This window comes from Homo sapiens, chromosome 21 (assembly GCF_000001405.40).
Source record: "Homo sapiens chromosome 21, GRCh38.p14 Primary Assembly".
Lineage (NCBI taxonomy): Eukaryota > Metazoa > Chordata > Mammalia > Primates > Hominidae > Homo > Homo sapiens.
In genome coordinates, this window is record NC_000021.9 from 6,440,934 (window position 1) to 6,468,886 (window position 27,953).

Here is a 27,953-nt window from a genome sequence, read left to right on the forward strand (position 1 = left end):
GTATTTTTAGTAGATACGGTGTTTCCTCATGTTGTCCACGCTGGTCTTGAACTCCTGAGCTCAAACAATCCACCCATCTTGGCCTCCCAAAATGCTGGGATTATAGGTGTGAGCCACTGCGCCCAGCTGCTTTTTTCTTTTTGTAAGTATAGATGTTATCTATCAACATCCTTCTGTGGAAAAATGAAGATTCTTCCTCTCCCATGCTCCTCCCCACTAGTAGGAAATATAATTCCATTCTCGGATTCCTTCAGGACAGTTTTATAATTGAGAATAGATTAATATCCAGTGTTTACACGATTATGATGAAGCAACTATTATTCCTAGCCTAGTCATGTTATGTAATTACATTTCTTACAGAGCTCCAATATTTTCTCCCCTTTTTTTGAGACAAGGTCTTGCTCTGTCACCCAGGCTGGAGTGCAGTGGTATAATCACAGCTCACCGCAGCCTCAATCTCCCTGGCTCCATCAATCCTCCTGCCTCAGCCTCCCAAGTAGCTGGGACCACAGGCACCCACCACCATGCCCAGCTATTTTTAATAGAGATGAGGTCCTGAACTCCTGGACTCAAGTGTGTGTGTTGAGTCGAGTCCTCCCAAAGTGTGTCTGCTTTGGCCTCCCAAAGTGCTGGGATTACAGGCATGAGCCACCGTGCCCGGCCTCTTTGTTTTCTAGGTTCTGATGCAACTCCCAACTCTCCACCAGGCATGCAGATCTCTTGATAGGCTCACAGCACTCTGGCGACCTCTTGATTTCCTTATCTCCCCTGAAGCATCACTCCTGTCTTTTTTTTTTTTTTTTTTGAGACAGGGTATCACTGAGTCATCCAGGCTAGAATGCAGTAGTGCAATCATGGCTCACTGCAGCCTCCAACTCCTGGGCCCAAGTGATCCTAATGCCTCAGCCTCCTGAGGAGTTGTTTTCCTTTCTTTTTTCTTGTAGAGACAGGGTCTCACTGTGTTGCCCAGGCTGGTCTCGAACTCCTGGCCTCAAGCAATCTTCTCGCCTAGGTCTCCTCTGTCCTACTGCTGCTGGACTCACAGTGGCCCTGGGACCTCCTGTGACACCATTTCCTCTCCTGTTTTCATTCCCTCCTTTTGGTGGCGTGTGTTCCTGGGCAGAAAGCCTGCCCTGCATGATGGAAGTGGGTCTCCTGCCTCCGGTGCTAAGGGAGAGGGTGCTGGCCTCAGGGCTTCCAGCCTGCATTCCTTCCTCTTCTGAATTCCGTCAGGGTTCATCTCCTGGTTTCCATGTGTGCTGGAGGCTGAAGTTGATGCCTTTCTCATCCCAAGCCTCCCTGTGTGAGCTGGGCTTTTCATCCTTTTTTGGGAGTGTTTTAGACTTCTCATGTCTTGAGTGACCTCACATTTCACAGTGATGTTCACTGTGTAGATCTTTCGCGGTCCATTTTGCTGGGCACTGGGTGGGCCTCTCGGTCTGCAAAGTCATGTCTTTGAGTTCTGGGGCAGTTTTGTGAATTACTTCATTACTGAGATCCTTCCTTGTTTTCTTTTTGGAACTCTTACTTGCCACGTGCTGGGATCCAATAAGCTCAAAGAATTTCACACACAAAAACATAAGGACAAATACATCAGGATACATCATAATTTCCAAAACAACATTGTAAAAGAACAAAGCTGTAGGATCCATACTTTCAATTTCAAAACTTACTACAGAACTATAGTAATCAAAACAGTGTGGTACCACCATAAGGCCAGACACACAGATCAATGGAATAGCACTGAGTCTAGAAATGAGCCCATACATCTGTGAGCAACGGTGCCAGGCCATTCCATGGGGGGAGCATCGTCTCTTCAACAAGAGACGCTGAGACAGACAGACATCCACAAACTCCCATGTTAAACCATCTACAAAAATTGACTCAAAATCGAACAATGAGCTAAATCTGTACAGATCTTAGAAGAAGACATAGGGGTACATTTCCATGAACCTTGGATTTGCCAATGGATATGACACCCAAAGCATGAGCAACAGGAAAAAACAAACAAACAAATTTTGACTCCACCAAAACTAAAAACTGCCGTGCATCAAAGAACATTAAGAAAGTAAAGAGACCGGGACCAATGGCTCACGCCTGTCACCCCAGCACTTTGGGAGGCCGAGGTGGGCAGATCACTTGAGGTCAGGAATTCAAGACCAGCCTGGCCAACATGGTGAAACCCTGTCTCCACTAAAAATATTAAAAATTAGACGAGGCGCAGTGGCTCACACCTGTCATCCCAGCACTTTGGGAGGCCGAGGTGGGCAGATCACTTGAGGTCAGGAATTCGAGACCAGCCTGGCCAACATGGTGAAACCCTGTCTCCACTAAAAATATTAAAAATTAGACGAGGCGCAGTGGCTCACACCTGTCATCCCAGCACTTTGGGAGGCCGAGGTGGGCAGATCACTTGAGGTCAGGAATTCAAGACCAGCCTGGCCAACATGGTGAAACCCTGTCTCCACTAAAAATATTAAAAAGTAGACGAGGCGCAGTGGCTCACACCTGTAATCCCAGCACTTTGGGAGGCCGAGGCAGGCAGATCACAAGGTCAGGAGTTTGAGACCAGCCTGACCAACATTGTGAAACCCCGTCTCTGGTAAAAATACAAAAATTAGCCAGGCATGGTGGTACGTGCCTGTAATCCCAGCTCCTGGGGAGGCTGAGGCAGGAGAACTGCTTGAACCTGAGAGGCGGAGGTTGCAGTGAGCTGAGATCACGCTACTGCATTCCAGCCTGGGCGACAGAGAAAGACTCTGTCTCAAAACAATAAAAAATACGAAACACAAAAATTAGCTGGGCGTGGTGTTGGGAACTTGTAATCCCAGCTACTTGGGAAGCTGAGGCAGGAGAATAGCTTGAACCCAGGAGGTGAAGGTTGCAGTGAGCCAAGATCACACCATTGCACTCCAGCCTGGGCAACAGAGCAAGACTCCATCTCAAAAAAAAAAAAAGTAAAAAGATAACCTACAGAATGGGAGAAAATATTTGCAAGTCTTATGATAAGGGCTTAGTATCCTGAACATATAAAGAGCTCCTACAACTCAACAAAAAGACAACCCAATTTAAAAACAGGAGATGGATTCTCCCAAAAAATAACCAACAGGCATATGAAAAGATGGTCACTCAACATCACCAATGATTACAGAAAGGCAAATCAAAACCATAATGAGACACCTCTTCATACACACTAGCATGGCTATAATAATTTAAAACAAGAAAATAGCAAGTGTTGATAAGGACCTGGAGAAACTGGAACCCTCGGGCACTGTTGGTGAGAATGGAAATCGGTGTGACCAGTATGGAACACAGCTTGATGGTTCCTCAAAAAATAAACATGGACGCCGGGCGCAGTGGCTCACGCCTGTCATCCCAGCACTTTGGGAGGCTGAGGCAGGTGGATCACCTGAGGTCAGGAGTTCAAGACCAGCCTGGCCAACATGGTAAAACCCTGTCTCTACAAAAATACAAAAATTAGCCAGGCACAGTGGTGCACACTTGTAATCCTGGCTACTCGGGAGGCTGAGGCAGGAGAATCGCTTGAACCCAGGAGGTGGAGGTTGCAGTGAGCCGAGATTGTGCCATTGTACTCCAGCCTGGCAACAGAGCAAGACTCCATCTCAAAAAAAAAAAAAAAAAAAAATTAAACATGGAGTTACCACATTAACCAGCAATGCCACTCCTGGGTACACACCCAAGAAAAGTGAAAAGAGGTGTCCAGACATACTCGGCCATGAAGGTGCACAGCAGGTTACTCACAAGGGCTGAAAAGCAGAAACAACCAGGTGTCCATCACCGATAAATGAGGAACCAAAATGTGGTCTATCCACACAATGGCTTATTATTCGGCCACAAAAAGAAACCAAGTACACGTGCTCTGACATGCCTGAAAATACCATGCAAAGTGAAATAAGTTAGACACGAGGCCACAATTGTGTGATTCCATTTATATGAAATGTCCAGAACAGGGAAAACCTATTTTAGACAACAGAGACACAAAGTCGATCAGCAGTTGCCAGGGGAGGAGGAAGACGGGAGGGGAAATGATTGCTTCACGGGGTGATGACAGAATGTTCCAGAACGTGACAGAGGTGGTGCCTACACAACTTTCTGGATGTACTAAATGCCGCTGATTGTTCACTTTCAAGTGATTGATTTTTAGGTTATTTGAATTTCATCTCAATTAAAAAACCCAAACACGCAAACTGCTCCCGCCAGCTCAGCCCCGAGCAGACGGCGCAGCCCGTGGAGGATGCTGAGCCACCCAGGCTTCTCCCCGCCCCTTCCTGGACTCTTCTCTCTTTTGCCTTTAATCCACTCTGCGCAGTCATTGCCTGTGTTCATCCTACCTGGCCGACTTCTCTCTCAATATTTCCTTGGTGAAACATCCTAAGAGGAAGTTACATTAGAGAAAATCACATATTTCATCTCATAGGCCGTAAACAGGGCCATTTAGGAAGCCATGTGTTAACGAGGGGAGACGGATGCTCTGTGCCGTGTGCAGGGATAACGGTGCCAGGCCAGGCAGTTACCAATCACGCGTGTGTTTAGGGCTCAGGAAAGCGAAGGAGAAGTGGGCAAGGGTGGCGGGCCCGCTCCGCACCGCCCAGCGCTCCGGACTTCACTTCTGGTCCCGCTCCTGGGCGGCCACGAAGTTCAGCAAGTCAATGGCGGTGACCACCCCGAACACCATCTGCCGCTGACTGGACTTCCCGGTGCTGTGGTCTGAGGGGAGAACGAGGCAGTGGGTTTGCAGGTGCCGTGGGAGGCTGGGTGGGCTGCTGCGGGGCAGGAGGCTCCTGAGGGCCTGGGGCACCTGTGCACCATGGGGGCCCAGGGTGGCTGGAGCCCAGCGGCGAAGGCTGTGTTCCTTTTTTTTTTTCTGAGACAGGGCCTCACTCTGTCCCCTAGGCTGGAGTGCAGTGGTGCAGTCTTGGCTCACTGCAACCTCCACCTCCTGGGTTCAAGTGATTCTCGTGCCTCAGACTCCCGAGTATCTGGGACTTCAGGTGCACATCACCACACCCAGCTAATTTTTGTATTTTTAGTAGAGATGGGGTTTTGCCATGTTGGCCAGGCTGGCCTTGAACTCCTGACCTCAAGTGATCCACTTGCCTCGGCTCCCAAAGTGCTGGGATTACAGGCGTGAGCCACTGTGCCTGGCCAAGCCAGTGTTCTTCTGACATGAGCCCCATGAGCCCCCAGGCCAGGTTCTACCCACCACGTGAGTCCCCTGGGCCCCAGGCCAGGCTCCACCCACCGCAGGTCAGGACACACCCTTCCCTGGCCCACCGGCTGAGCTCCTGAGGCACTCATGACTTCAGAGCCGGTGTGGGCATGAAATTCAAACCCGCTTACAGGGCCGGGCACAGTGGCTCACACCTGTGATCCCAGCGCTGTGGGAGGCCAAGGTGGGAGGATCATTTAAGCCCGGAAGTCTGGGACCAGCCTGGGCAACATATTGAGACCCTGTCTCTACAGAATATTTTTAAAAATAAATTAGTCGAGCATGGTGGCACACGCTTGTGGTCCCAGCTACTTGGGAGACTGAGGCAGAAGGATCAGTTGAGCACAGCAGGTCGAGGCTGCAGCGAGCTATGATGGCACTACTGCACTCCAGTCGGCAACAGAGCAAGACCCTGTCTCTAAAAACAGACAAAAACCCCTTGCCACCATGGGCAGCACACAGCTTCCATCTCTGGCCTGATTCTGTCTTCACCCCTCCTGCTTTCTCCTGGCAAGCGTAGACCCGGTGTTAATGCTGGCCGAGGCTCCCATGCCACATACCCAGACAGGGCTGTTGTGATGGTTAATTTTAATACAGATTAACGGGGCCGTGGGAGCCCAGGCATTGGTCACACGTCGTTCTGGGCATGTGTGAGGGGATTCCGGATTAGCACAAGAGTCAAGAGGCAGATAACGTGTGCTACTGTGGAGGGCCTCACCCAAGCAGTTGAAGGCCTGAATAGAACCAAAGGTGGAATTTCCTGCCTTGGGGCTTGAACTGCTGGCTCTCCAGTCTCCGGCCTGCCGCCTCACCCTGCAGATCTCAGGGTTTGTCAGCCTCCGTGATCTCATGATCCAGTTCCTTAACACAGATCTCGTTCCCTCTCTCTCCCCGCTCCCCACACATCCTCTTGGTCCTGCGTCTCCACAGGACCCTACACCAGCTGTCATGAGGCACAGAGGGGTGAGCAAGGTGCGGGTGAGGAAGAGCCCTCGGAGCCCGTCCCAACTCCGCCACGGCTGTCACTCCTCTCTTTGTAGGCAGAGGTCCCTTGGGGTGGCCCACTTAGAGCCCCAGGAAAAGATAGGGAACACAGATGAGATCAGCTCCTTGCATTTTGGGGAAACGGAGGCACAGCAACTGTTGGAGAAGGGAGCCCTGGGAGCCCTGAGTGCCGCAGGCTTCTGTGGCCCTGGCAGCTCGGCCCAGAGTCAATGGACTAGGGCCAGCCAGGGGACTTTCCGACAAGGGCCAGCTGGTGGTATTTTAGGTCTTGGGGGCTGTGCCGTCTCTGTTATGAGCACGCAGCCCTGACGTGCTTGAAAGCAGCCACAGACGGTGGTGACAAGCGTGGACATGCTCCAGGAAGACTTGATTTGGGGACCCTGACATTGGAATTTGCATCTTTTTTTTTTTCTGAGATGTTCAAACACAAGTAAATGTGAGATTAAGAGGGGGATCCCTCCTACCCAAGCTTGGGGGTGGGTCCAGGACCCTGGAAGGCCTCCATTTGCCATGGGGAGGCTGTGAATCTGAGCCTGAGAGCCATTCTGAGGGGTGGGTGATACCTACCTGCAGGCCCCCCCACCACGCCTGCCCAGGCCTGGTCCTGCGCTGCAGAGCCAAGGACGGGAGATGGGGTTAGACTTGGGGCCCTCACGGACCAGCCTCAGCCACCGAGCGCTCACCCCCTGCACACAGGCCTGGTGGGTGGGCAGGCTCCAGGCTCCAGGGCCCCTCCCAACTCTTCCTGTGGGCCCCAGGCCCAGGGCTGCCATCTATGACCCAAAACCTGCGAGCGACTCTCCTGGCCTGTGGGGATGTGGTGGGGACGCCCGGGGATGCGCTCAGGAGTTGCAAAACCTCATGAGCTTGCTGGGAGCGGGGCTCTGAGGACAGCCCATCAGTGGCTCCTGTGAGACCCACATGAGGCTTCCATTCAGAGCAGCCCTCCGAATGCCAGGGTCAGGACTTGAAACCCTTCTAGATGTTTCTGGGCTTGTCCCTGAGAATCCCCAAGACTGCTGGCCTCCCCGGAGGCAAGGGGCCTGGACTCCTGAGCCTCTGCATGCTGGACAAAGGGCCCTACCCAGTGTGGCCTGATGAGGGGTCCCTGCAGGAATCACAGGTACAGCCCACCAGCCCAGGGCATGTGGGAGGCCCGGGCATAAAGACTGGGTGTCACTGAAGGTCGGCACCACCCACTCCCCTAACACCCCGCAGGGGATGGGGGGCCCAGCTGCTGCCCATGGCAGAGGCCAGGCTTGGTGGCCTGACCCCAGTGAGAACCCCACGCACAGAGCAGGGCCCCACTCACACTGGATCTGCTCGTGCACCACCAGGGCGAAGTGGTCCATCTCCAGGATGTGCGAGAGCCTGCCCAGCGTGTCCGTGAGGCGGATCTGCAAGGGAAGCGTGGTCAGTGGCAGGGGGAACATGGCCCCACGAGTTTTCTGTGGAGTGAGAGGGGATGCGATGGTGGGTCCTGCAAAGCCCACCCGGGAGGCAGTGGCAGCCGAACGTGGGAAATACGTGGATTCGGGTGACGTCTCGGGTGTGTGTGTGAGATGGGAAAGAAGTCGAATTCACTCCTAGGTTTGGGCAGAACCCTCAGCCTTTCCAGTGTCAAGAGCCACACCTGCATGTCCCAGGGGATCCGTGTGGAAGGTCACACAAACTTTCCTGGGCCACCCTCAGGGCAGCAGAGGGTGGGTGTCTCAGGACAACCACGGAGTCTGACCAGCCCGGCAAGGAGCCACCGTGGGCTTCTCCCAGAATGTTCTAGCTCTTGTTGGATAACCAAGTGCATGCACAGGCAAATGAGGCTGGGCAGGAGAAAGACCCCAGCAGACGCCGCATGGTGCCCGGGACAGCCTCTGAGCGCGAATGACCTCCTTAAGTCCCCAAAACACGGCTGGTGTGGATGAGCCTGCACTGATGAGAGCCTCCTCTCCGGCTGCTGCACTTGTAAAGTGGGTGCTTCTCAGCTTCATGGTTTGAGGGGTGCAGCCAGCTTCGGCCTAAGTGGTGTTGAGGGTCGAGGACCCAGCACCCCCACACGGGAAGCGCGGTGTCCCGCCTTCGAGGCTGGAGTACTCTGGCACCCTCTGGGGTCCCGAAGTGCCTGAGTACCTGTTTGAGCCGCGTGTAGGTGACTGCGCACCTGTTTGAACTGCGTGTAGGTGACCGCGCACCTGTTTGAGCTGCCTGTAGCTGACCGGGCACCTGTTTGAGCTGCCTGTAGGTGACCGCGCACCTGTTTGAGCTGCCTGTAGGTGACTGGGCACCCGTTTGAGCTGCCTGTAGGTGACCGCGCACCCGTTTGAGCTGCCTGTAGGTGACCGGGCACCCGTTTGAGCTGCCTGTAGGTGACCGGGCACCCGTTTGAGCTGCCTGTAGGTGACTGGGCACCCGTTTGAGCTGCCTGTAGGTGACCGCGCACCCGCTTGAGCTGCCTGTAGCTGACCGCGCACCTGTTTGAGCTGCCTGTAGGTGACCGGGTACCTGTTTGAGCTGCCTGTAGGTGACCGCTCACCTGTTTGAGCTGCCTGTAGGTGACCGCGCACCTGTTTGAGCTGCGTGTAGGTGACCGGGCACCTGTTTGAGCTGCCTGTAGGTGACTGCGCATCTGTTTGAGCTGCCTGTAGGTGACTGGGTACCTGTTTGAACTGCTTGTAGATGACTTTGCCAACTTGGTCTGACGGCTGCACCTTCCCGGCAAGCAGGGACGAGAGCATGTTCCCAAGCGTCACCATTCCCAGGATTACCCTGTGGGACGGGGGCAGGCAGGGGTCAGCGCTCATACCTCACCCCTCCCAGGACGGTGGGGCACACGCTCAGCTGCCCCAGGGAGGAGCGCTCTCTGGCCACACATGGAAGTCCTCTGCCACGAGCCTACACGCGGCAGGAACCAGTCTGGGCCCTGGTGGGGAGAAAGAAACCAAGAGTCCTTGGACCCGTTCAGCCAGGGTCAAGGGTGACCAGCCGTCAGGTTTCCGCGACGTGGGGCTCTCAGTGGTCACTGGGCATGTGTGCCAAGGCTTTCTGCTGTCAGACATGTCCTCGGGGCATCTCTCCCCTGACCTCCAGGTGGGCCCAGGACAGCCTGCACACAAAGGGTGGGTGGGCTGAGGTCTGAGGGCCTGGAGTGAGCACGGCAGCCCTGCCCCAGGCTGCTCAGGGACCGGCAAGGGGCCTCCAATGCCCTGAACGTCTGTATGAGGCGGCCCAGGCGGGCCTATCAGCCCAGCTGCAGGGTCTGCATGGCTGCCCTGTCCAGTGACACTGACGGGGTGGAGCTGGGCAGACAGAACCCAGGACTGAGCTCTGAGCAGGGGCTGAGACTGACCCCGCCTCATCCACCACGGGCGCCTGGTCGAAGCCCTTCTCCCGGAGGATCTCGATGGTGTGCCCACAGGTGATGGTCGGGAGCACGGTCAGCGGGGCTGACAGGCCCAGCTCCTGAACACGGAGGTGCCACCACCTGAGGGAAGAGGGCAGGTCGGGGGGATCAGGATAAGGACAAACGCTCTCGCACCCCCGCCGGCAGCACCTCAGCAGGAGGCCACAGGGACCGCTCTCCTGCCTGTCACACTGGGCAGGGCCAGCACAGGCCACGGGGACCGCTCTCCTGCCTGTCACACTGGGCAGGGCCAGCACAGGCCACGGGGGAGTGCTCTCCTGCCTGTCACACTGGGCAGGGCCAGCACAGGCAGCGGGTCTCCGGCCGAGCGGTCTTACCAGGGCTTCTTCTCCGTGAGGTCCTCCTCCTTCAGAAAGCCCTTCTGCAGCATCCACCTGTCGCTCAGGAACTTGGTCCTGCGGGATGGGGGAGTCACCGAGTCCCCGCAGGGCCCCACCGGGCCCCCGCCCCTGCTGAGTGGCACGCACTGCCTGCCCAGCCCCTCTCCTGGACCTCACTGGTGCAGCAGAGACCCCCAAGTGCTGGCTGGAAGCCCCAGGGGGAAGCCTGGGGGCTGGACTTCCCGCCCCCATGGCCAACAAGCGTGTGTGAGCATGCACACAGCCATCGCTCAGGCACTCAGATAAACACGTCCTCTCATGCTCGCTCTCTGCCCCTCACACACTCACACGCACAGGTACACATGGCAGGCTGGCCAAGTATGTGGGGAGATGGTGTTCTTGCACTGACGGGGGTGGGCAGGAGCCCTGCACAGGGCATCTTGACCCTGGGCACCAGATGTGAATCACCCCACACTGGGGAACCCAACTGGGGGCACCCACCAGCCAGGCCTGGCCCTCCAAGGGCAGCTGAGCTCTCGGGAGCTGTGTAGCCGCTGCAGCTTGCAGGCCATGGAGGAAACCCTGCAGGTGCAGGGGACAGGGCATGGGGGTCTGTAGACACCCGCCCTGGTACCGCCTCCGGAGACCAGGTGCAGAGCAGCGCCAGTCTCAGCCTGGCTGCCCGGTGACCAGCGAGGTCTGTGGCGTTACTGTCCGAGGGGCCTCTGGGCAAAACAGTCACAGCAAGTCCTAGGGGGCCACCTGGGCAGCACTCGTTCCCAATCTGGAGTTTGGGGGAAGCAGCAGAGGGAGTCAGGGTGGATAGGAGGTGGCACAGGGCCCGGCCCAAGAGGACGTCAGTCCATGTGGCCAGGGCTACCCGTTGGAGCTCACGGACCCCAGAGCAGTGAGGGGGACAGACACCAGAGAGGAAGGGACAGGAGGGACAGAGAGGGAGCCACCGTCTTTCATGCCCCTCCTGTCAGGGCTGTCACTGCGAGTGTGCATTGATTTTCACAGCATTAAGAGGCTGGGAAGCCCCACAGCGTGAGGGCACGTGGGCAGGAGAGTGGAGGCGGTGCTCACAGGGCCCCGCTGGCCTCCTCCCCTCCCAGTTCTGGCTGCCGGTTCTCAGGTGAGGCGTGAGAGGCATCCAGGGAAGGGTGGCAGGATGGAGAGGAGCAGGGACCTGGGAGGGAAGCCGTGTCTTACATGTAGTTCCGCACTGAGTCGGGCAGAATGACCACGCAGCGCTGGCCCTCCTGCAGCTCCTGCGCGGCCTTCACGGCCACCGCCACCGTGCTGCCAGCACTGCCACCTGCAGAGAGGGCCACGAGTCAGACGCGCCAGGGTGAGCGTGCGTGGGTGCACACGTATGCATGAATTGTGCACGTGCACGCATGGGAGCATGTCAGACACACTCCGAAGGATCCGTCAAGAGGGGTTGCCTCGGGGAGAGGGGCTGGGAGGACCCCACTTCTCCGTGAGCATCGGCTTCTTCCTTGTGCACCATGGAGTTTCTGTGTCCACTCGGGGCTTCATAATGAGCTGGGGTGGGCACTGGTGCCAGGGAAATGCCTGCAGTGGGGCTGCGGCCCCTGGCAAACCTCCTGGCCCTGAGCCTAGAGCCAGCGATGCTACGAGGACGGAGCCCCCAGCACCACGCCTGCAGGCTGCCTGACTGCACACTGGGCTCTGCTTTATAAACAAGAGACCAAGGCTCACAGTGACACCAGCTGTCCCTAGGAGCCCTGAAGTCAGAGTCAGAGGCGTCTTCTCTGGGCTTAGTTTGAGGGTGCACACAGCAGTCGGGAAGGTCTAAGTCTGCAGTAGGAGCCCCCACAGGAAGAGAGGCACCCTCCTCTGTAACGGGGCCCATGGACCTGCTTTCCAGCCCCAAAGGCAGGGGCTTGTTTCTCCACCAACATGGGGAGCAGGGAGACTGAGACAGGGAGAGCCCAACGATTATGGGCACCAAGTCACCTTTCGTGACAGATTCATCTGGAAAATGCTTTTCTTTTCTTTTTTTTTTTTTTGAGATGGAGTTTTTGCTCTTATCACCCAGGCTGGAGTGCAATGGCGTGATCTCGGCTCACTGCAACCTCCACCTCCCAGGTTCAAGCAATTCTCTTGCCTCAGCCTCCCGAGTAGCTGGGATTACAGGCATGCACCATTACATCGGCTACTTTTTTTTTTTTTTTTGGTATTTTTAGTAGAGACGGGGTTTCTCCCTGTTGGCCAGGCTGGTCTTGAACTCCTGACCTCAGGTGATCCACCCGCCTCGACCTCCCAAAGTGCTGGGATTATAGGCATGAGCCAACGCGCCTGGCTGGGAAATGGTTTTTCAATCAAGACTTTCTTCCAATCTCTAGTTTGGGGCTCAGCTAACGGGGGACTTGGCCATGCTGAGGGCTGGTTTCCTTCCACTTTCCCTGTCACCACCCCCAAAGTGACATGACACACGGAATGCACATGTAGAAACCTCACATGTCCCTGCCTGCGTTTTAGAAGCTGGTGTGTGCTCTCCGAGTCCCCAGAGGTCTAGATCAACTATGGTCCCTACAGGGCCTCTGCTGCCTGTGTGGCTAGTCAGTGGCATTGCCAGCGGCCACCTGGTCTGTCCACCCCCAAGCAGGTGGGCAGAGGGGCACGGGGTAGGAGGAAGGTGAGCGGGGTCGAGCTGGACAGCCTCAGGCTCCAGTCCCCTCCCCAGCTGCTCCAGGGTGCTCGCAGCACCCAGTCCCGGCCATGGGCCCCGTCAATGCAGAGCCACCGCCCCAGGGGCCCTGGTGGACTTGATTAGAAACAATAAGTGCCATGAGAGCTTCAGCCTTGTTCTAGAAACACATTCTGGAAGGCAGCTCGAAGCCCCGCCCCATGGCCTCCTGCCCTCACCTGAGCAGGTGACCACACTGGGCAGGCAGACAACACCTGAGGCTCGTGGCCGCCGCAGTGACACTCCTCAGAACTGCTGTCTTACACATGCAGGTCGGTGGCTGACTGAGGGTGCGCCCCCAGCCATCCCCAGTGCCCCCTAGCCATCTCTGCCTTCCCCATACCCCCGTGCCCGCCACCCACTCACCGCACAGCAGCCCCTCTTGCGCGATCAGCATGCGGGCAAAGGTGAACGCCTCCTCATCGTTGCTCTTGAACCACTTGTCCACCACCTGAGCAGGACCCCACCACAGCCCGTCAGCGTGGGAGCCGCTCCCACGTGACCAAGAGGGTGAACAGCCTCATGGTGGACCCCGTGTCTAGGCGGTAGGACCCCAGAGGTCTCACCCCAGCCTCTCCCCCTGGGATCGGCACGTCTGCAGACTTTCCAGTTCCAACACGTTTTGCAGACAGCAAAACTGCCCGCCAGCCCCACTGAGCATCCGTGTGACCCACACCGGCCCTTCGGTCTCTGCTCTCCCTCAGGCCAAAGTCAGCTTTTTGGCTCTTAACAGACTTTTCCGGGGCCTTAATTTTCACACGTTTTCCCTGCTCCCTGCCTGTGCCACCTGGGCTACATCCCTTGGTGAGGTCAGGCCACGTGTGCGGACATCGTCCCCCAGTCTACTTTGTCTCGACCTTCGAGACCAGCTTCTCACCATGCGTGCGGGGCTTGCCCTTCTGTTTCAGTGGAGAAGCTGGTTGGGGCCCAGGGTCAGCCAGGCTCCCCAGTGTGAGGGTGAGTTACAGGCTGCACCGGCACTGTGGCCGGGCTCTGGACTCGACCTACCGTCCTGTCCAGCACCGTGGGGATGAAGTCGTAGCCGATCCCTTCCACCTCGTAGGTTGTCTGCTCCGTCTGGTTCAGCTCCTCCGGCTCTGCGAGGATGGACCCTTCGGGATCCACCCCAATGATCTGCAGAGGGCGCGGCTTCAGGGCTCAAGGCCAGCAAAAGCCCCGCCTGGACATGCCTCGATATTCTATTATGGGAGTGGCCAATACCGCCGTTAACAACTGCCTGTTAATGATCTGCCTGTGGGTGGTGGCCTGTTCCCAGCCTCAGAGGCAGGATGAGAAACCCAAGAACCCAGGCTCCAAGTATTAAAGCGGTAATGACCTAAATGTTCAGTGCAGGGCGCTCAGAAGTAAAGGCAGGTGCCTGGGAGGAACTGACCTCCCCGGGGTGCTTCTCGGAGCGGGGCCCCCAGGACAGTCCAGACAGACCACCCTGCGGCGGAGCAGCAGAGCCTTTGGGGACAAAGGGCATTGCTGGGCAGTGACGTCTTTTTCAAGGGCAAGCAACAGGGAGAGAACGCCCTTGTCTCATCAGCGGGACCTTTCTAGGCACCCGTCCTCAGACCTGCTCTTAACCCCGAGTCCAGGAACCCTCTCCCAACTCCCACAAGCCCCAGTTGAGGGGCAGACTCAGGACCAGAGGACTTAGAGCTCCTGGCTGATCCTCAGAGGCCCCCAGTTGGAACTCCGACCCCCCACTCAGTGCAGGAAGGTTCTCCAAGACACTGGCCGGTGAGCGAGCACCCAGCCCCAGCTCCTTCGGGTCACGAGCTGCTGGTCCCTTATGTGTCAAGCACCCTTGTCTTCCCAAACACCTCCCAGGCAGCGCAGAAATACCGCGGGAGACAGCGTGCTGAGCAGACCGTGAGGAATGACAGCTTTCAGCTCAGAAGCCGGGGCCACTCCGCACTGCCCCTCTCCGGCCCGGCCACACCACTCACCCTGCATCCAGGACACTTCTCCTTCAGCTTCCTGGCAATGCCCGTGATGGTGCCGCCCGTGCCCACTGAAGCCACCAGCATGTCCAGCTTCCCTGGTGGACGGATAACATTCTTGGGTCCCTGCCTGGCCAGCCCATCACTCATAGTAATAATCATTGAAAACACACTCAGCCCAAACCACGGTGGGTAACCAAAAAGTTCAAAAGAAAAACTTCTTCTCCAGTTGGAGCAGCCCTCGTTGCTGCCCTTGGTCTGTGAAAGCCTCAGAAACAGGCAGCCTGGGGCACCCCAGCCCAGTCTTTGCTCAGTGACACTCGACCCCTAAAACCCCCATTTGGCTGGATGCAGAAAGACAGGACCCTGTCCGGGGGGTGCAGGCGCTGAGGGCGGGCAGAGGGAGGCTGTGAATTAACCACCTCCGTGGGCTGTTGGATGTTTGCGTGGTGTGAGTGAGTTAACTGAATTTACACAGGAAATGGAATCAGTCTTTTAGGCTTCAGCGCAGAAACTCGCTGGGCGCTCACACTGCTGGCCGCCAGCGCGGGCATCTGGTGGAGAAGTCACAGCAGGGAAAGACTCAGCGAGACGGAGCAGCTTGGGCACCCATGCTGAGACAGGACTGTTTTTGCCAAATGAGAGAGTTCTCACACATAAAGCCCAAACAACCAAATGCCTGGACCTTACAGCCCGGCTCCTGGGCACGGACTGAGGGTGTACTCCAGCCCATGCCAACACCGGATTCCCAATAGGAAGCCAGGGCGCCAACCTCTTGGCAACTTATCTCTAAAGGGATCTCTTGGGAAAACCTCAGTACCAACCCCCACAGGCCTTGGCACCGAGTCCCTGGAAAAGGGCCCAAGGAGCCGGCCTCATGCTTGTAACAGAGAGTGAGCTCATCGCAGATGTCACCAGCTCTGTTCTGCAGATGAATTTGATGCCGAGTCAGGGCATGATCCCAAATGAAGTCCAAGCTGTGAGCCCAGCACCAGCCTGGGCCCTGAACAGACTCGCTGTCTGCATTATCTGCAGGAGGAGCCCCTGCAGACCTGCAGAGATTGCTGGGTAAACAAATACAGCCATGCCCTGTGTTTGCTATTACAGGTAAACCACAGGCGGAGGCCAAGAGGGCACAACGGAGGGAGGAAATTGTTCTAGAGAAATGCTCTAGAAAAGCATTTCACAGAGGGAACATTTGAGCTGGGTTCTGAAGGGTGAATAGGAGTTCACCAAGGAGAGGGCAAGAGATGTGTACACTCCCAGGCAGCCAGGGATAAATGCAATCAAGATGGACAGAGGGACGCACCATCACACTGCTGCAGGATCTCATCAGCGGTGGTGTCATAGTGAGCCAGGGGGTTGCTGGCGTTGCGGTACTGCATAGAAAGAGAGCAGAGCCCGTGAGCTGACCCCTGACACCTCAGTCACCCCCACATCCCTGACCGAGACCCTCCTAGGGAATGCCTGTCTCCAGGCCCCAGGTGCCTCACCTGGTCTAGGATGTGAGAATTGGGGATTTCGTTCTTCAGCCGCCAGGCCACCCCCACGTGTGACTCCGGGGAGTCGAACCTGGCATTGGTGGGCGTCCTCACAATCTCAGCCCCCAGTGCCCGCAGCACGTCCACCTGCAGGAGGGAAAGCGGTGGCCTGCACCTTCCGCCTGGCCCAGGCACCCTCATCCCCTGCCCTATGACCCCGCCCCTGGCCACGCCCACCCACCTTCTCGGAGCTCATCTTCTCTGGCATCACGATGATGCAGCGATAGCCCCTCACTGCCGCAGCCAGGGCCAGCCCGATCCCTGAGGGCACACAGAGGGTGAGAGGGGCCCAGTGACCCCCCAAGCCCTGCCCCGCCCCTGCCTGGGACACAGGGGCACACCCCGATGCCGGTTCCCTTAGGGCCCAGGGAAGAGGGTTCTGTGGGATTCCAAAATTGCCCAACATGGCTGCTTCTGCCTTCAAGTGCAGGGGGAGAGAGGCTGCCAGAGGCAGAAATAAAAGGTACACGTCAAGGAGGAGGAGGCAGCGGCGCAGGACAGGAGATCTGGTTCCTCCAGGCCCAGCCGGGTACACAGGCACAGGAAGAGCAGACTCCGGGTGCTCGTCTTGTGTGCCAGGCACTGCCAGGTGCCATCGCCCCGAGAGCATCGGCACTGGCCCCGAATGCTGGTCAAAGGAAGCTAGGTTGGGACACAGGCCGGCAGCGGGTGCAAGATGCCAGGGAGCAGGCGGCCAGGCGGGCCAGCACATGCGGCTGCAGCTCATCCATCCCCCCCGGGTCCCGGCAGGCTCGGCATGGGTAGGGGACAGCCAGCCCCGGCCACCCCCTCTGGGCCTGGCACCCACCGGTGTTCCCGGATGTCGGCTCGATAATCGTGTCCCCGGGCTTCAGCGTCCCGTCGCGCTCAGCATCCTCAATCATCCGCAGGCTGATGCGGTCCTTCACGCTCCCGCCCGCGTTGAAGAACTCACACTTGGCCACTGGGAGGCAGAGATGAATCACAGAGGGGACCCCCTGACCACCCCCCCATTGATTCCTGCTCACCCCCCCATTACCTGATACACCCCAGGGTGGGGGACGGGCTTGGGGGTCTGTGGGTTCTGAAAAATTGCCACCTCTCCACTCACCTCCCCTACACCTGCACCTGGGCACTAGCCTATCAGAGCTTCTCCCCCTGCAGCCCATCCTACCGGTCCTGCAGGGCGCTGAGCAACTCTGTGGGAACCAGAGAGGCATAAGCAGCCCTCACTGGGGGGCGCCGCAGAAAACCCCGTCCCCCCACCCACGAGCTGGGCTTGTGGCGGGCAGGCGCCTGGATTTGGGTCCCCTACGCCCCTATGCCCAGCCATACCCAGCGGCCCCTGCCAAAGCAGCTTGATGTCCTGAAGCCACAGCACTGGCTTCCCCATCGGATGGGGACTCGCATACTCTCCCTACAGCCTCCCATTGTCCTCCTTCCCCTGTGGGGCGTCACCTGCCCGGGGAAGGGCTCCCTGCGCAGTTCCCGCACAAGGCCAAGGCCTTCACTTGCACTTCCTTCCTTACTGCAAGTCCTCTCTCCCTCTCCAGCTCTTAAAAATATTTAGTTTTTAAGAGCGAGAGAATGGGCTGCATGAAATGTGATTTGAGGGACCTGGGACCAGCCTGCAGCACCTCAAAATTTCTGAAAGCAACCACCAGACAGGTGTTGCCCCTAGAACCAGGACGAGGCGCTGTGTGTGGTGGGGAGGACTCTCGGGGTCTGGCCCTCTACAGGCCTGCATTCTCGGACCCCTCTGGGTCCCATACTGTGAAACCCTCAGTTAGATCATTCTCACTAGCGCCTGGGGGCCAGCTCCGAAGCAGAAATCAGAGCTGGTGGCCTCCGGCAAGCCACGTGACCAACCTGACCCTCGGTGTGTCTGTCTGTAAAACGGGCATTCCAAAACCTACTTCAAGGGCAACCGCCAAGTTTAGACGTCATCCTGTACGGAGCACAGTGAGCCAGCCACGCGTGCTGCGTACGAGTTAAGGGTCCCTATTGTCTGACAAATGAGCACAGAGCCGGCCCTGCTGCCTTGGGGGTCTCTGTGAAGGGGGCTGCTCTGCTGCAGCTCCGAGATCTCCTTCCCTAGAGGGGGGCAGAGGAGGGCCAGGCTCCCACGAGGCCCCTCCTGTGAATCGGCGATCGGTTCCCAACGCACCGACCCCTGACTTCCTTCCCCCAGCGCCTGCCCCAGCTCTCACAGGTCCCCCGGCTGGGACATTAGAGCATCTCAGGATGAAAAAGTCCCAAGCCATGTTACTGGTTCCCTCTCCTTCCCACTCGAACTCCACCCCCTCCATCTGGCCCTGTCGCGGGGTTCTCCGCGGCACCCTTCCTGCCTCCCTCCGAACTCACTTGACCTTGGTCATCTGAAATACGAAATTCCGTCCCCGCCTTGTCCCCAAGGCCTCTGCACCCACAGCTTTCTCTGTGACGATGCTGAGGTCTACCAGGGCTCTGCGCTCTTGGTGAAGAGCGACCCTTAGGAATTCCCTCCACGCTCTTGAGCCTGGAAACTGCGTCCTGCAAAGAAATGCCCTTCCCCGGAGGCCTCAGACCACACCTCAGGTGACCCCCTGCGCACCCAGGACGAGGCCAGCCACAGACCCTCCAAATTCCCATTCTCTGTCTCATAAATGATGAGCTGAACTATCTGTCCCCACGAAGCTGGCAAGACAGAGGTAACCGCTCCCTGGACAGCGGGTGGCTCACAGCACGTGCTAGGACCCGTCCACTGCTCCTTAGCAGGCATGACGCTAACCCTCCCCACCTGCTTGCTTCTGCCTTTGACCCTCACCCGGCCCTTCACACCCTCGCTGCTTCCACTCCGGCCTCAGTTCAAAGGTCACCTGTTCGTTCCCTTGTCCATCTGCTGGGGAGTCACTTTGGTCACCCTCTGACACAATGCCCTGTTGTGTGTTTTTCCCAAACTTAAGCTGATATGTTCTTGGCCACTCATTAACCAGCGAGTTTTCTGATCCCAGGGCCTTGCCTAAGGGATCCATCCCAGGACCCCCCAGGACCCCCCAGGCCCACGGAGCCCAGTGTAGATGGAGGAAGCCCCTCTCCAAAGCCAGGGCACTCACAGAGCTCACACTTCAGGCCGAACTTCTTCCCAATCTTGTTGATTCTGACCATAGGGGTGTCCCCGATTTTCTTCAGAATATCTGGCAAGATTTTTGGAGATTTTGCCCTGAAACAGAGGAGTCCACAATTATTCAGGAAAAAAAAAAAAAAATAGTACCAGCCCTGGCAGACATTGTCTTACACAAATCAACACTCGAAGAACTGGAAAAAAAAAAAAAAAAAAAAAAAGAACTGGCTTTATCTGGGTGGTGGTTACACAAATCTGTACACAGATACACCTAACACACATCCCACACACACGCCTGAAACACACATACACACACATGCTTAGACATACAAATCTATAAAAAGCAAATCATGCCTGTGGTTTATTTGCACCAATGCCAGCTTCCCAGGTTTGAAAATGAACCTACAGTCGTGGCAGATGTTGTTAGTGGGAAGCTGGGAGAAGGGTACAAAGGATCTATTATTTTTGCCACTTATTGTGAGTAGTAAATTATTTCCAAATAAAAAAGTTAAAATAAGCAAATACTGACTCCAAAACAAAGGTTTAGGTCCACCTTTTCAGAAAGGCTTTACTGGAGATGACATTTCCTTTCATCTCTCAGCATGTGACCATAGGAAGCAAAAAAGTGTCAGGGCAGAGACTCCTTAGACCAGGGACAATGGCTGCAAAGCGCAGGCGGGATGTCTAGCCCTGCACAGAAAATGTCAGGCACGTGGCAGACTCAGAGCCCCGGCAGAGGCGCTGTCGGCCAGGCTCGTGATGCCCTGCCCTGCAGCATCTGGCTGTGTAAACCCTCAAACCCTGGTCCAGGTGGTTTCCTAAATGGCCCTCATGCCCCTGCCATCCTCCCCCAGGGAGATGCTGATGACACCCCCTATCTATCTGCACCAAGCTCACCACATACTCATCTGGGAACACGCATGGCTTACAGCGGTCTCCAGACCCGCAACCCCTCCCTGGGCCTTGCAGCTCCGATGACACCCCGTGGCTAACCCTGGGCCCCCTCTTCAGCACAGTCACCTGCTGAACAGCCAGGGTCCTTGGGTCCTGCCCCCCAGGAGGCGACCCTTAGACCTGGGGTGAACCCAGCTCCCAGAGGTCCTGTGCCATGGAGGGAGTGCCACATTTGCAGGGAGAGCTACCCTGAAGGCCAAAACAGGCGCCAACAAGAGCAGCTGGAATCCAATCGCACCCTTCCCGGGGAGCAGAAGGCAGTCCTGCCAGGTCCCCAAACTGTACAGGGGCCAGGGAGGTTCCCTCAGAAGCAGTTCTCGGCAGAAGGGAACCAGGCTTGGCAGGTGTAGAGAGCCAGGGCCAGGTGGAAAGCCAAGCCCCAGGGTGACAGCGCCGGGGATTAGTTCATTAATTCAGTTCGGGCATCTGGCCAGCCAGGCGGGAAGAGTCCCGCCTCCCTGCAGCAGGTGTGCTGACTCAGCACTGGGCCTCGGTGGCTGTGAAGTTACCTGAGAAGTTTGCAGAGGTGATCAGGGCCAGGCCCAGAGCGCTTAGCAAGAAAAAGGATGTGACTTGCAGGGATAGCCCTGGAGCCCCTTATCTCAAGGACTCCCACTTCCACAGCCCAAGAGTCTCCTGGGAGGACACGCCACTGTCCTAGAATGAACCTCCAACTCCTGACCCACCTCTGCAGCACCTCCCCGCAACGCCACTATTCTCAGGGGCCCTCCGACTGGAGACAAGCGGCGTCGGCTCTGCGTCTCAGGATGGGGGTGTCTTCGGAGGATGAATGAGGCCAGTATGTGAGGTGCAGGTGCAACGCCATTTACAACCTGGAGGGCATCGTCTCCTTCTCATGCCCTAGAGTTAGGAGCTCACGGAGCCCTCAGGAATCGGGCCTGTCTTCCCTGCCCACTCCACCCTCCAGCAGCCACTCCCGACCTCACCGGGCCTCTCACCCACTGCTCTCTTGGGTTTGTCTTGGCAGCAAGAGCCCATCCTCCTGGCTGCCCACACATCTGCTTGGCCTCCTGAGCTCCCAGCACTGAGTATGTTTGACACTCAGACCTTCTGGGTTTGTCCACTGTCACTTCTTTCTTTCTATTGCTGCACTGAGAGTACACCCAGCCACCCCCACCCATTCTGAACTGTAAATCAACAACCATAAACGCTGGTAGTGGTGGACACAAAATAGGAATCATAATCCCAGCACTTTGGGAGGCCGAGGCGAGTGGATCAACTGAGGTCAGGAGTTCAAGACCAGCCTGGACAACATGGTGAAACCCCATCTCTATTAAAAGCATAAAAATCCACCGGGCGTGCTGGCACATGCCTGTAATCCCAGCTACTAGGGAGGCTGAGGTAGGAGAATCGCTTCCCGGGAGGCAGAAGTTGCAGTGAGCTGAGATCGCGCCACTGCACTCCAGCCTGGGTGACAGCGAGACTCTGTCTCAAAAAAAAAAAAAAAAAAAAAAGGAATCAAACATCTAAGAAGCACATTCTTTGATCTATTTGTTCTCCTCCAAGATTACACTAAGGAAATAAAGATAATCCTAAGGCTTAGTGAGCTTGATTTCAGTTTCATGCTGGGGTAGGGATTTTTGTTGATTTGTCTTTTCCACTGATAGATCTTCTGCGCCTTGAGCAGGGCACGAAATGCACATGGCGCTGAGGAAAGACTTGTTGGCTAAATGAATGTGTCGTATCTTCTATTGCAGTTATGTAAAATGAGGTAACTGCAAACATCTATCTACCCCGTAGAGGGCTTACAAAATGATGGCTTCTTCACCGAACAGTCTGTGCCACCAGAAAAACAGCCCTTATGGAAAAATATGTAATGCCTACGGGAAGTCTTCATGACCTAGAGTTAACGGAAAAGTGCAGGCTGGGCCGGGCGCGGTGGCTCACACCTGTAATCCCAACACTTGTGGGAGGCCAAGGCAGGCGGATCACTTGAACCTAGGCATTCAAGACCAGCCTGGGTGAAACCCCATCTCCTAAAAATACAAAAATCAGCTGGGTGTGATGGTGGGCACCCATAGTCCCAGCTACTTGGGAGGCTGAGGTGGGAGGATCCCTTAACTGGGGGAGATTGAGGCTGCAGTAAGCCATGATTGCACCACTGCACTCCAGCTCGTGTCTCAAAAAAATAAAAAATAAATAAATAAGAGAGCGCAGGCAGGATCCTGGTCCCTCACCTCCAGTGAATGTGCACACGCAGCCACAGACCGGGCAAAGCATGTGACCTGGGCACATTTATTTATTTATTCTGGAACTACTTGCTGAGCATCCACTGTCTTGCCAGGCACTGGCCTAGGCGCTGGGCTGCAGCGTAAGGAGGCCTTGGCCTCTCAGAGCCTCATCTACACGGCATGGCCCCACCCCCAGCTCCTCAATCCAGAGTGACTACAGGGGGTTACACCTCATGTCCTCCTGGCTGTGTGGTGTCCAGGTAACAAACTCCTGCCCTCCAGGTTATGGATCAGCCCTCTTGTGATCAAAAGCAGGACTTACGGGGCAGTGTGGTGATGTGGGGACTCGGAGGCAGGCCGGCCCAGCTGCCAGGTGCACCTGCTCGGAGCATCGGGCCGGATCCACAGGGGCTCCTTGGCTTCCTTATCCTCTGGGGACCCCTTCTCCAGGCTCCCCTTCGCCGAGTGTGGCCCTGAGCGGTGGGGGCAGCCTGTGGGCCCCACTTCTGCCTGGGGGGTCTCAGAAGGCATGCTGGGACCTGGCAAAGCAAGGAGAGAGGCGTCGGTTCAGGCTCGGATGCTGTGGGGTTCCAGCGAACCCTGCTGACCCGGCCCCCTCTGGGAGGCGTGCTCTGCTCCCTCAGAGAAGCCCAGGAAGAACTGCACAAAAACACAGGCACCAGCCCTGTGGGCAGCCGCTTGGCCATTTCTCTCCTATAGGCATATACCAAAAAAAATGGAAGCAGACAGTTGCTTGGGCCGGGTGCGGTGGCTCACGCCTCTCATCCCAGCACTTCGGGAGGCTGAGGCAGGAGGACCACTTGAGTCCACGAGGTCAAGACCAGCCTGGGCTCCAGCCCCATCTCTATTTAAAAAATAAAACAACAACAACAAAACAGATGCTTGCACACCCATGCTCACTGCTGCACTATTCACAAGTCAAAACGTGGAGGCAGCCCACGTATCCGCAGACGGATGAACACACACAGTAGGCTCATACACACACTAGAATATTACTCAGCCCTAAGAGAAATGAATTCTGGCACACGCTACAACACGGACGAACCTTCAGGACATTATGCCAAGCGAAATGAGCCAGACACAAAAGGACAAATACTGTGTGATTCCACTTCCACGATGAGGCACCTGGGACTCTCGAACGCCCCTCTATGTCTGGCAAATTCATAGAGATAGAAAGTAGAATAGAAGCGGCCAGCGGCTGAGGTGAGTGGGGAAGGGAGGGTGATTGTTTAATGGGTGCAGAGGTTGTGCTGGGGATGATGAAAACGTTCTGGGTGGAGATAGTCACGGTGGTTGCCTCACACTTAGAAATGGTTACAGTGATCAGTGTTACGTGTATTTTACCCAGGATTAAAAACACACACACGCACCTGAAATAGATGAGACAGAAAAAAAAAAGAAGAAAGCAAAAAGAAAGCCAGGCGAGGTCCCATCTGCTGCCCCTCCTCTGGGGGGACAAGGAACCCACGACCACCTCCCACCTTGCCTTCTTCAGAGGGCCCAGGACTGGGCTCAGCCCCGCTTCACCCTCCTTTGATTCCCCACATTCAACAGGAAGACTAAGTCCACAGCCGTCACTCACCGGACAGATGGTGCTGACAGTTCAGCACCGCTCAAACTCTGTAAGGAGACGTGACAACAGAATCTGTCATGGGATCCTGGAATAGAAAAGGGCAGTGAGGAGAAAACTCTGCAAATCTGACTCAAGCGCGGACTTTGGTTAATGTCAACAATGGTTATGTGATCGTGGAATTGGCTCATTAATTGTAACAAATAGGCCGGGCGCGGTGGCTCACGCCTGTAATCCCAGCACTTTGGGAGGCCGAGGCGGGCGGATCATGAGGTCAAGAGATCGAGACCATCCTGGCCAACATGGTGAAACCCCGTTTCTACTAAAACTACAAAAATTAGCCAAGCATGGTGGCGCACACCTGTAGTCCCAGCTACTCGGGAAGCTGAGGCAGGAGAATCGCTTGAACCCGGGAGGGGGAGGTCAGTGAGCCGAGATCGCGCCACTGCACTCCAGCCTGGCAACAGAGCGAGACTCCGTCTCAAAAAATAAAAATAAAAATAAAAATAAAAGAAAATAAATAAAGTAACAAATATACGACATCAGTTTAAGATCTTAATAACAGGGGAAACTGGGGGAACTCTATCTATTTTTTCAATTTTTCTAAATCTAAAACTGCTCTTTTTTAAATTTTCGAGACGGAGTCTCCCTCTTGTTGCCCAGGCTGGAGCAGTGGTGCGATCTCGGCTCACTGCAACCTCCACCTCCCGGGTTCAAGCAGTTCTCCTGTCTCAGCCTCCTGAGTAGGATTACAGACGCCCGCCACCACATCCGGCTAATTTTTGTATTTTTAGTAGAGACGAAGTTTCACCATGTTGGCCAGGCTGGTCTCGAACTCCTGACCTCAGGTGATTCGCCCGCCTAGCCTCTCAAAGTGCTGGGATTATAGGAGTGAGCCACCCCGCCCGGCCTAAAACTGCTTTTTTTTTAAAAAGCCTATTAAAAAAGAAAAAGTTGCGGAAGCCGGCTGCCTTTGGAAGCCCTTGGAGTATGCTGTTCAGGTGGTCTCTGCGCACAGGCCCTACCCAGGCCTCAGCTTGGCCTCCTGGACTTCCCAGCCTCCCCTCCACCTTTGCAATTCACCAGACTGGGGGCCAAAGCGGCTTCAAACGACCCTGGAGGGTGGTGCTTTCAAGGTCTTGGGACCACGGACTTGTCTGAAAATCCGAAGGCGTTGGATCTTCTCTTCCCCAGAAAAATGCACCCGCTTTCAGAGGTTCGTGTCCCACGCTTTTCTTTCTATCCCAACCTTGTAAGAAGCCGCCGCCGTGAGCGGAGCAGCACCTTCCTCCGCGGGTCGCGGGAGTCACCTACGGGAAGGGACTCTCCGTCTGGCACAGGCCCTGTCTGGCCTGGGGCGCGCATGCTCCGCCGCCGAATCTTCCAGAAAGCCGTGGACCCGAGGCCCCGGCAGACGCAGGCGGCCCAGCGCCTTGCTTTTGGCCCCTCGCCTCGCCCTGGAGCCCTCTCTCGCAAGGTAAGGGACTGCCGGGAACGCAGATCGCAAGCCGTCGGGGCTCTGTAGAACTCAGAGGCGCTCGGCGGAAAGCTCGCCAGGCGACCCAGACCCGAACCCGCGGGCTCCCCAAGACAACAGCGCCGGGCGGCCGGATGCACGTGCGTCCCGGGAAGGCGGGTTCAGCTGGCATCGCCTGGCCGGTTCCGTTCGCTCCTTAAACCACAAGACCCCCTTGGGGTCACGACGTTCCCGGGGCACCCCTGCACTCGCGCGCCAGCACTCCCGGAGGGGCCTGGGGAAGGCCACGCGCACGGAGAGCGGGAAACTCCTCTAGGTTTCCAGGTGGGAGATCCAGACCCTACTGAGACCCGGAAACCGCCGGCCACTCCGCCTCCGGAAGCGACACTTTGGGACAAAGCTGGGGACAAGTAAGCCCAGAAGATCCTCGGGAAGCCGAGAATTTCGCGCTCCGCTCTCCCACCCACGCTCCGCCTCCCGCTTGCATCCTACAGCTCAGCTGCGGTCTCGCCTGGGGCTCAGGGAAGTGAGGTCCCAGGAAAACCTCCATCCCCCGAACGCAACCTGGGCAGAGCCCCGCGTCCCTCCCCCAGCGGGCACCCACCTCGCGTGCCGCCCGCGCAACGACAGCGTTTACCGCCACCCCACACGGTCCGCCAAAAAGGGCGATTTGCAAACAGCCATTTCCCATCCACAATGCAGCGAACTCAATGCTGGGCACCGAAACGTGCATCTCCCCCGGATTCCCACCCCGCGTCCCTGCTCCACGCTCCAGGACTCGCCGCCAGTGGGGTCCACTCCGCCGGCGCGGGGGCTGGGGTGGGAGCCCGGGGCCACGTGCACGGCCAGCCCCCATCTTCTGGGCGGTCAAGACCGCAGGCGTGGGCGCCGGTGGGGCGGGGGTCTTGGGAGACCCTGTCTCGCCGCCTTTCGGTGCAGATGATGCAACTCTGGGCGGAGGCGCGGAGAGGGAAACCGGGACCCAGTTGAGATCCTCTGTCCAGAGAGGGGAGCGAGTCTCGGTGGGGCCGGATCTCACCTGGACGGATACATGGAAAAGAGGGGCGAGCGGCTGCCCCGACTGCGGCGAGGCGGAGACGGCGACCCCGGGGTGGCGGCCTCGCGGGGACCCACGGCGAGGGGAGCAGGCGGGCGGTGATTGGCGGAGAGGCGGGGGCGGAGGCCGGCGCCGGCCAATGTCTCGTGGCAGAGCACCCGCCCGCCCAGCCCCTCCTCCACCCCACCCAGCCCGGGCCCCTCCCCCCCACCCCTTCCCCACCCCGCCGCAGCCTGGGACCCTCCGGCCTGCCCGACCCCCGCCCTCCCCGGGACCCCGGCATGCCCCCACCCCAGTCCGCCCGCCCCATTCCCACGCCCTGTTGATTCAACCGCAGACCCGGGTCGCCGCCCCCTCCCCCGCCTTCCTCTTCGCCTGAGCCCGCCCGCCCCGGGTTCCAGCCACCCCCACCCGCGGACCCCGGTGGTGTCTTCTACCTGGTGTTCCGATGCTGTTTTACTTGGTTAACTTCTTGCCCTTCGGGAATTTAAGGAACCTTTACTGATGAGCTTGAAACGTGCGTCCTGGTGGGTGGGGGGCCCTGCGCGTCCTCGAGGACCGACCCCGAGGGCGTGTGTCGCGGGCCCGGGAGGGGGCGCCGCGCCGGGGCGGGACTCGATGGCCGCGCTCTGTGGCCGCCGGACGCCGTGCGCAGCGCCCCGCGTGACCGCGCCCAGAGCCGGGTCCGAACCCCGAGCCGAGGCGCAGAACAGTCGCCTTGCGCGGCTCCGGTGCGGCCCACGGCCAGGGGCTGCCGGGCGCTCTCGGGGACGGGGCCGACTCCGCGCAGGGTGGTAGCAGGGGCGCCCCGCGGGGCTCCTTCGCCAGGTCCCGGAGGCCGCGGGCGGGGCCGTTTCCCAAACATCGTGCTCTGGACTTTCAGAGGCTGAACCTGATCCCCCCGCCCTATGGCTAAATGGGGGATCCCAGGCCCCCGAGTCTCCCCCCGGACCTGCAGCGAAAGACACGGACGGTGCCCATCAGCTCTGGGCAGAGGAACGTGCTGCGCCTCCGCAGCGTCCCCGGCTCAGGTCAGAGCGATGTTCCGCAGCCTCCTCCGGCCCGCGCAGCTCCGCCGCGGTCTCTGCCACGTGGGGCTCACAGTAGGGGAGGGAGTGAGACGTGAATTAGAATTAAATGTCCACTGGCAGGAACTGACACGAAGAACAATAAAGCCGGCGATGTGGGGAGGGGACAGGGATGGAGTTACATCATGAAGGCTCTGGAAGGTGGCATTGGAGGCCGGGATCGCGCCACTGTCCTCCAGCCTGTGCGACTGAGCGAGACTGTCTCCAGAAAAAAAAAAAAAAAAAAAAAAATCCTGTCCAGTCTTTATAAGAAGAGAGACGTGGACACAGACACGCGGAGAGAAAAAGGCCATGTGGAGATGGCGGCAGAGATGAGATGTGCTGCCACCAGAC

The 27,953-nt window shown here is 57.3% G+C and overlaps 1 protein-coding gene and 1 long non-coding RNA gene across 23 annotated transcripts in view, besides 1 other annotated feature; both read right to left on the reverse strand.

Annotated features, from left to right (window-relative positions):
- Window positions 1-27,953, reverse strand: part of LOC102724701 (uncharacterized) — a 441,766-nt gene that overhangs the window by 211,968 nt on the left and 201,845 nt on the right. The window lies entirely within an intron of this gene.
- Window positions 1-27,953: part of a sequence alteration artifact (region identified as an assembly artifact by the Genome Reference Consortium. This region falsely duplicates sequence located at GRCh38 chr21:43035651-43187643) that runs on past both edges of the window.
- Window positions 3,936-27,688, reverse strand: LOC102724560 (cystathionine beta-synthase like). Of its 21 annotated transcripts, XM_047440652.1 has the most exons (20): window positions 27,485-27,688; window positions 26,970-27,009; window positions 26,080-26,514; window positions 24,011-24,086; window positions 22,730-22,946; window positions 19,254-19,360; window positions 16,988-17,122; window positions 16,361-16,440; window positions 16,132-16,266; window positions 15,948-16,017; window positions 14,645-14,736; window positions 13,698-13,823; window positions 13,056-13,140; window positions 11,186-11,291; window positions 9,971-10,048; window positions 9,579-9,713; window positions 8,890-8,998; window positions 7,548-7,632; window positions 6,803-6,844; window positions 3,936-4,728 (listed from the first exon to the last, which is right to left on the reverse strand). In XM_047440652.1, the coding sequence occupies exons 5-20, from the start codon at window positions 22,936-22,938 to the stop codon at window positions 4,625-4,627; spliced, it is 1,698 nt and encodes a 565-aa protein (XP_047296608.1). In that variant the 5' UTR covers window positions 22,939-22,946; window positions 24,011-24,086; window positions 26,080-26,514; window positions 26,970-27,009; window positions 27,485-27,688; the 3' UTR covers window positions 3,936-4,624. The 21 variants fall into 21 exon arrangements, 20 of the variants coding, with proteins under 20 accessions (XP_047296608.1, NP_001340936.1, XP_047296607.1 ...); NM_001354007.1 differs by lacking the exons at window positions 6,803-6,844; window positions 26,080-26,514 and having other exon boundaries at window positions 3,936-4,392; window positions 4,607-4,728; XM_047440651.1 differs by lacking the exon at window positions 26,080-26,514.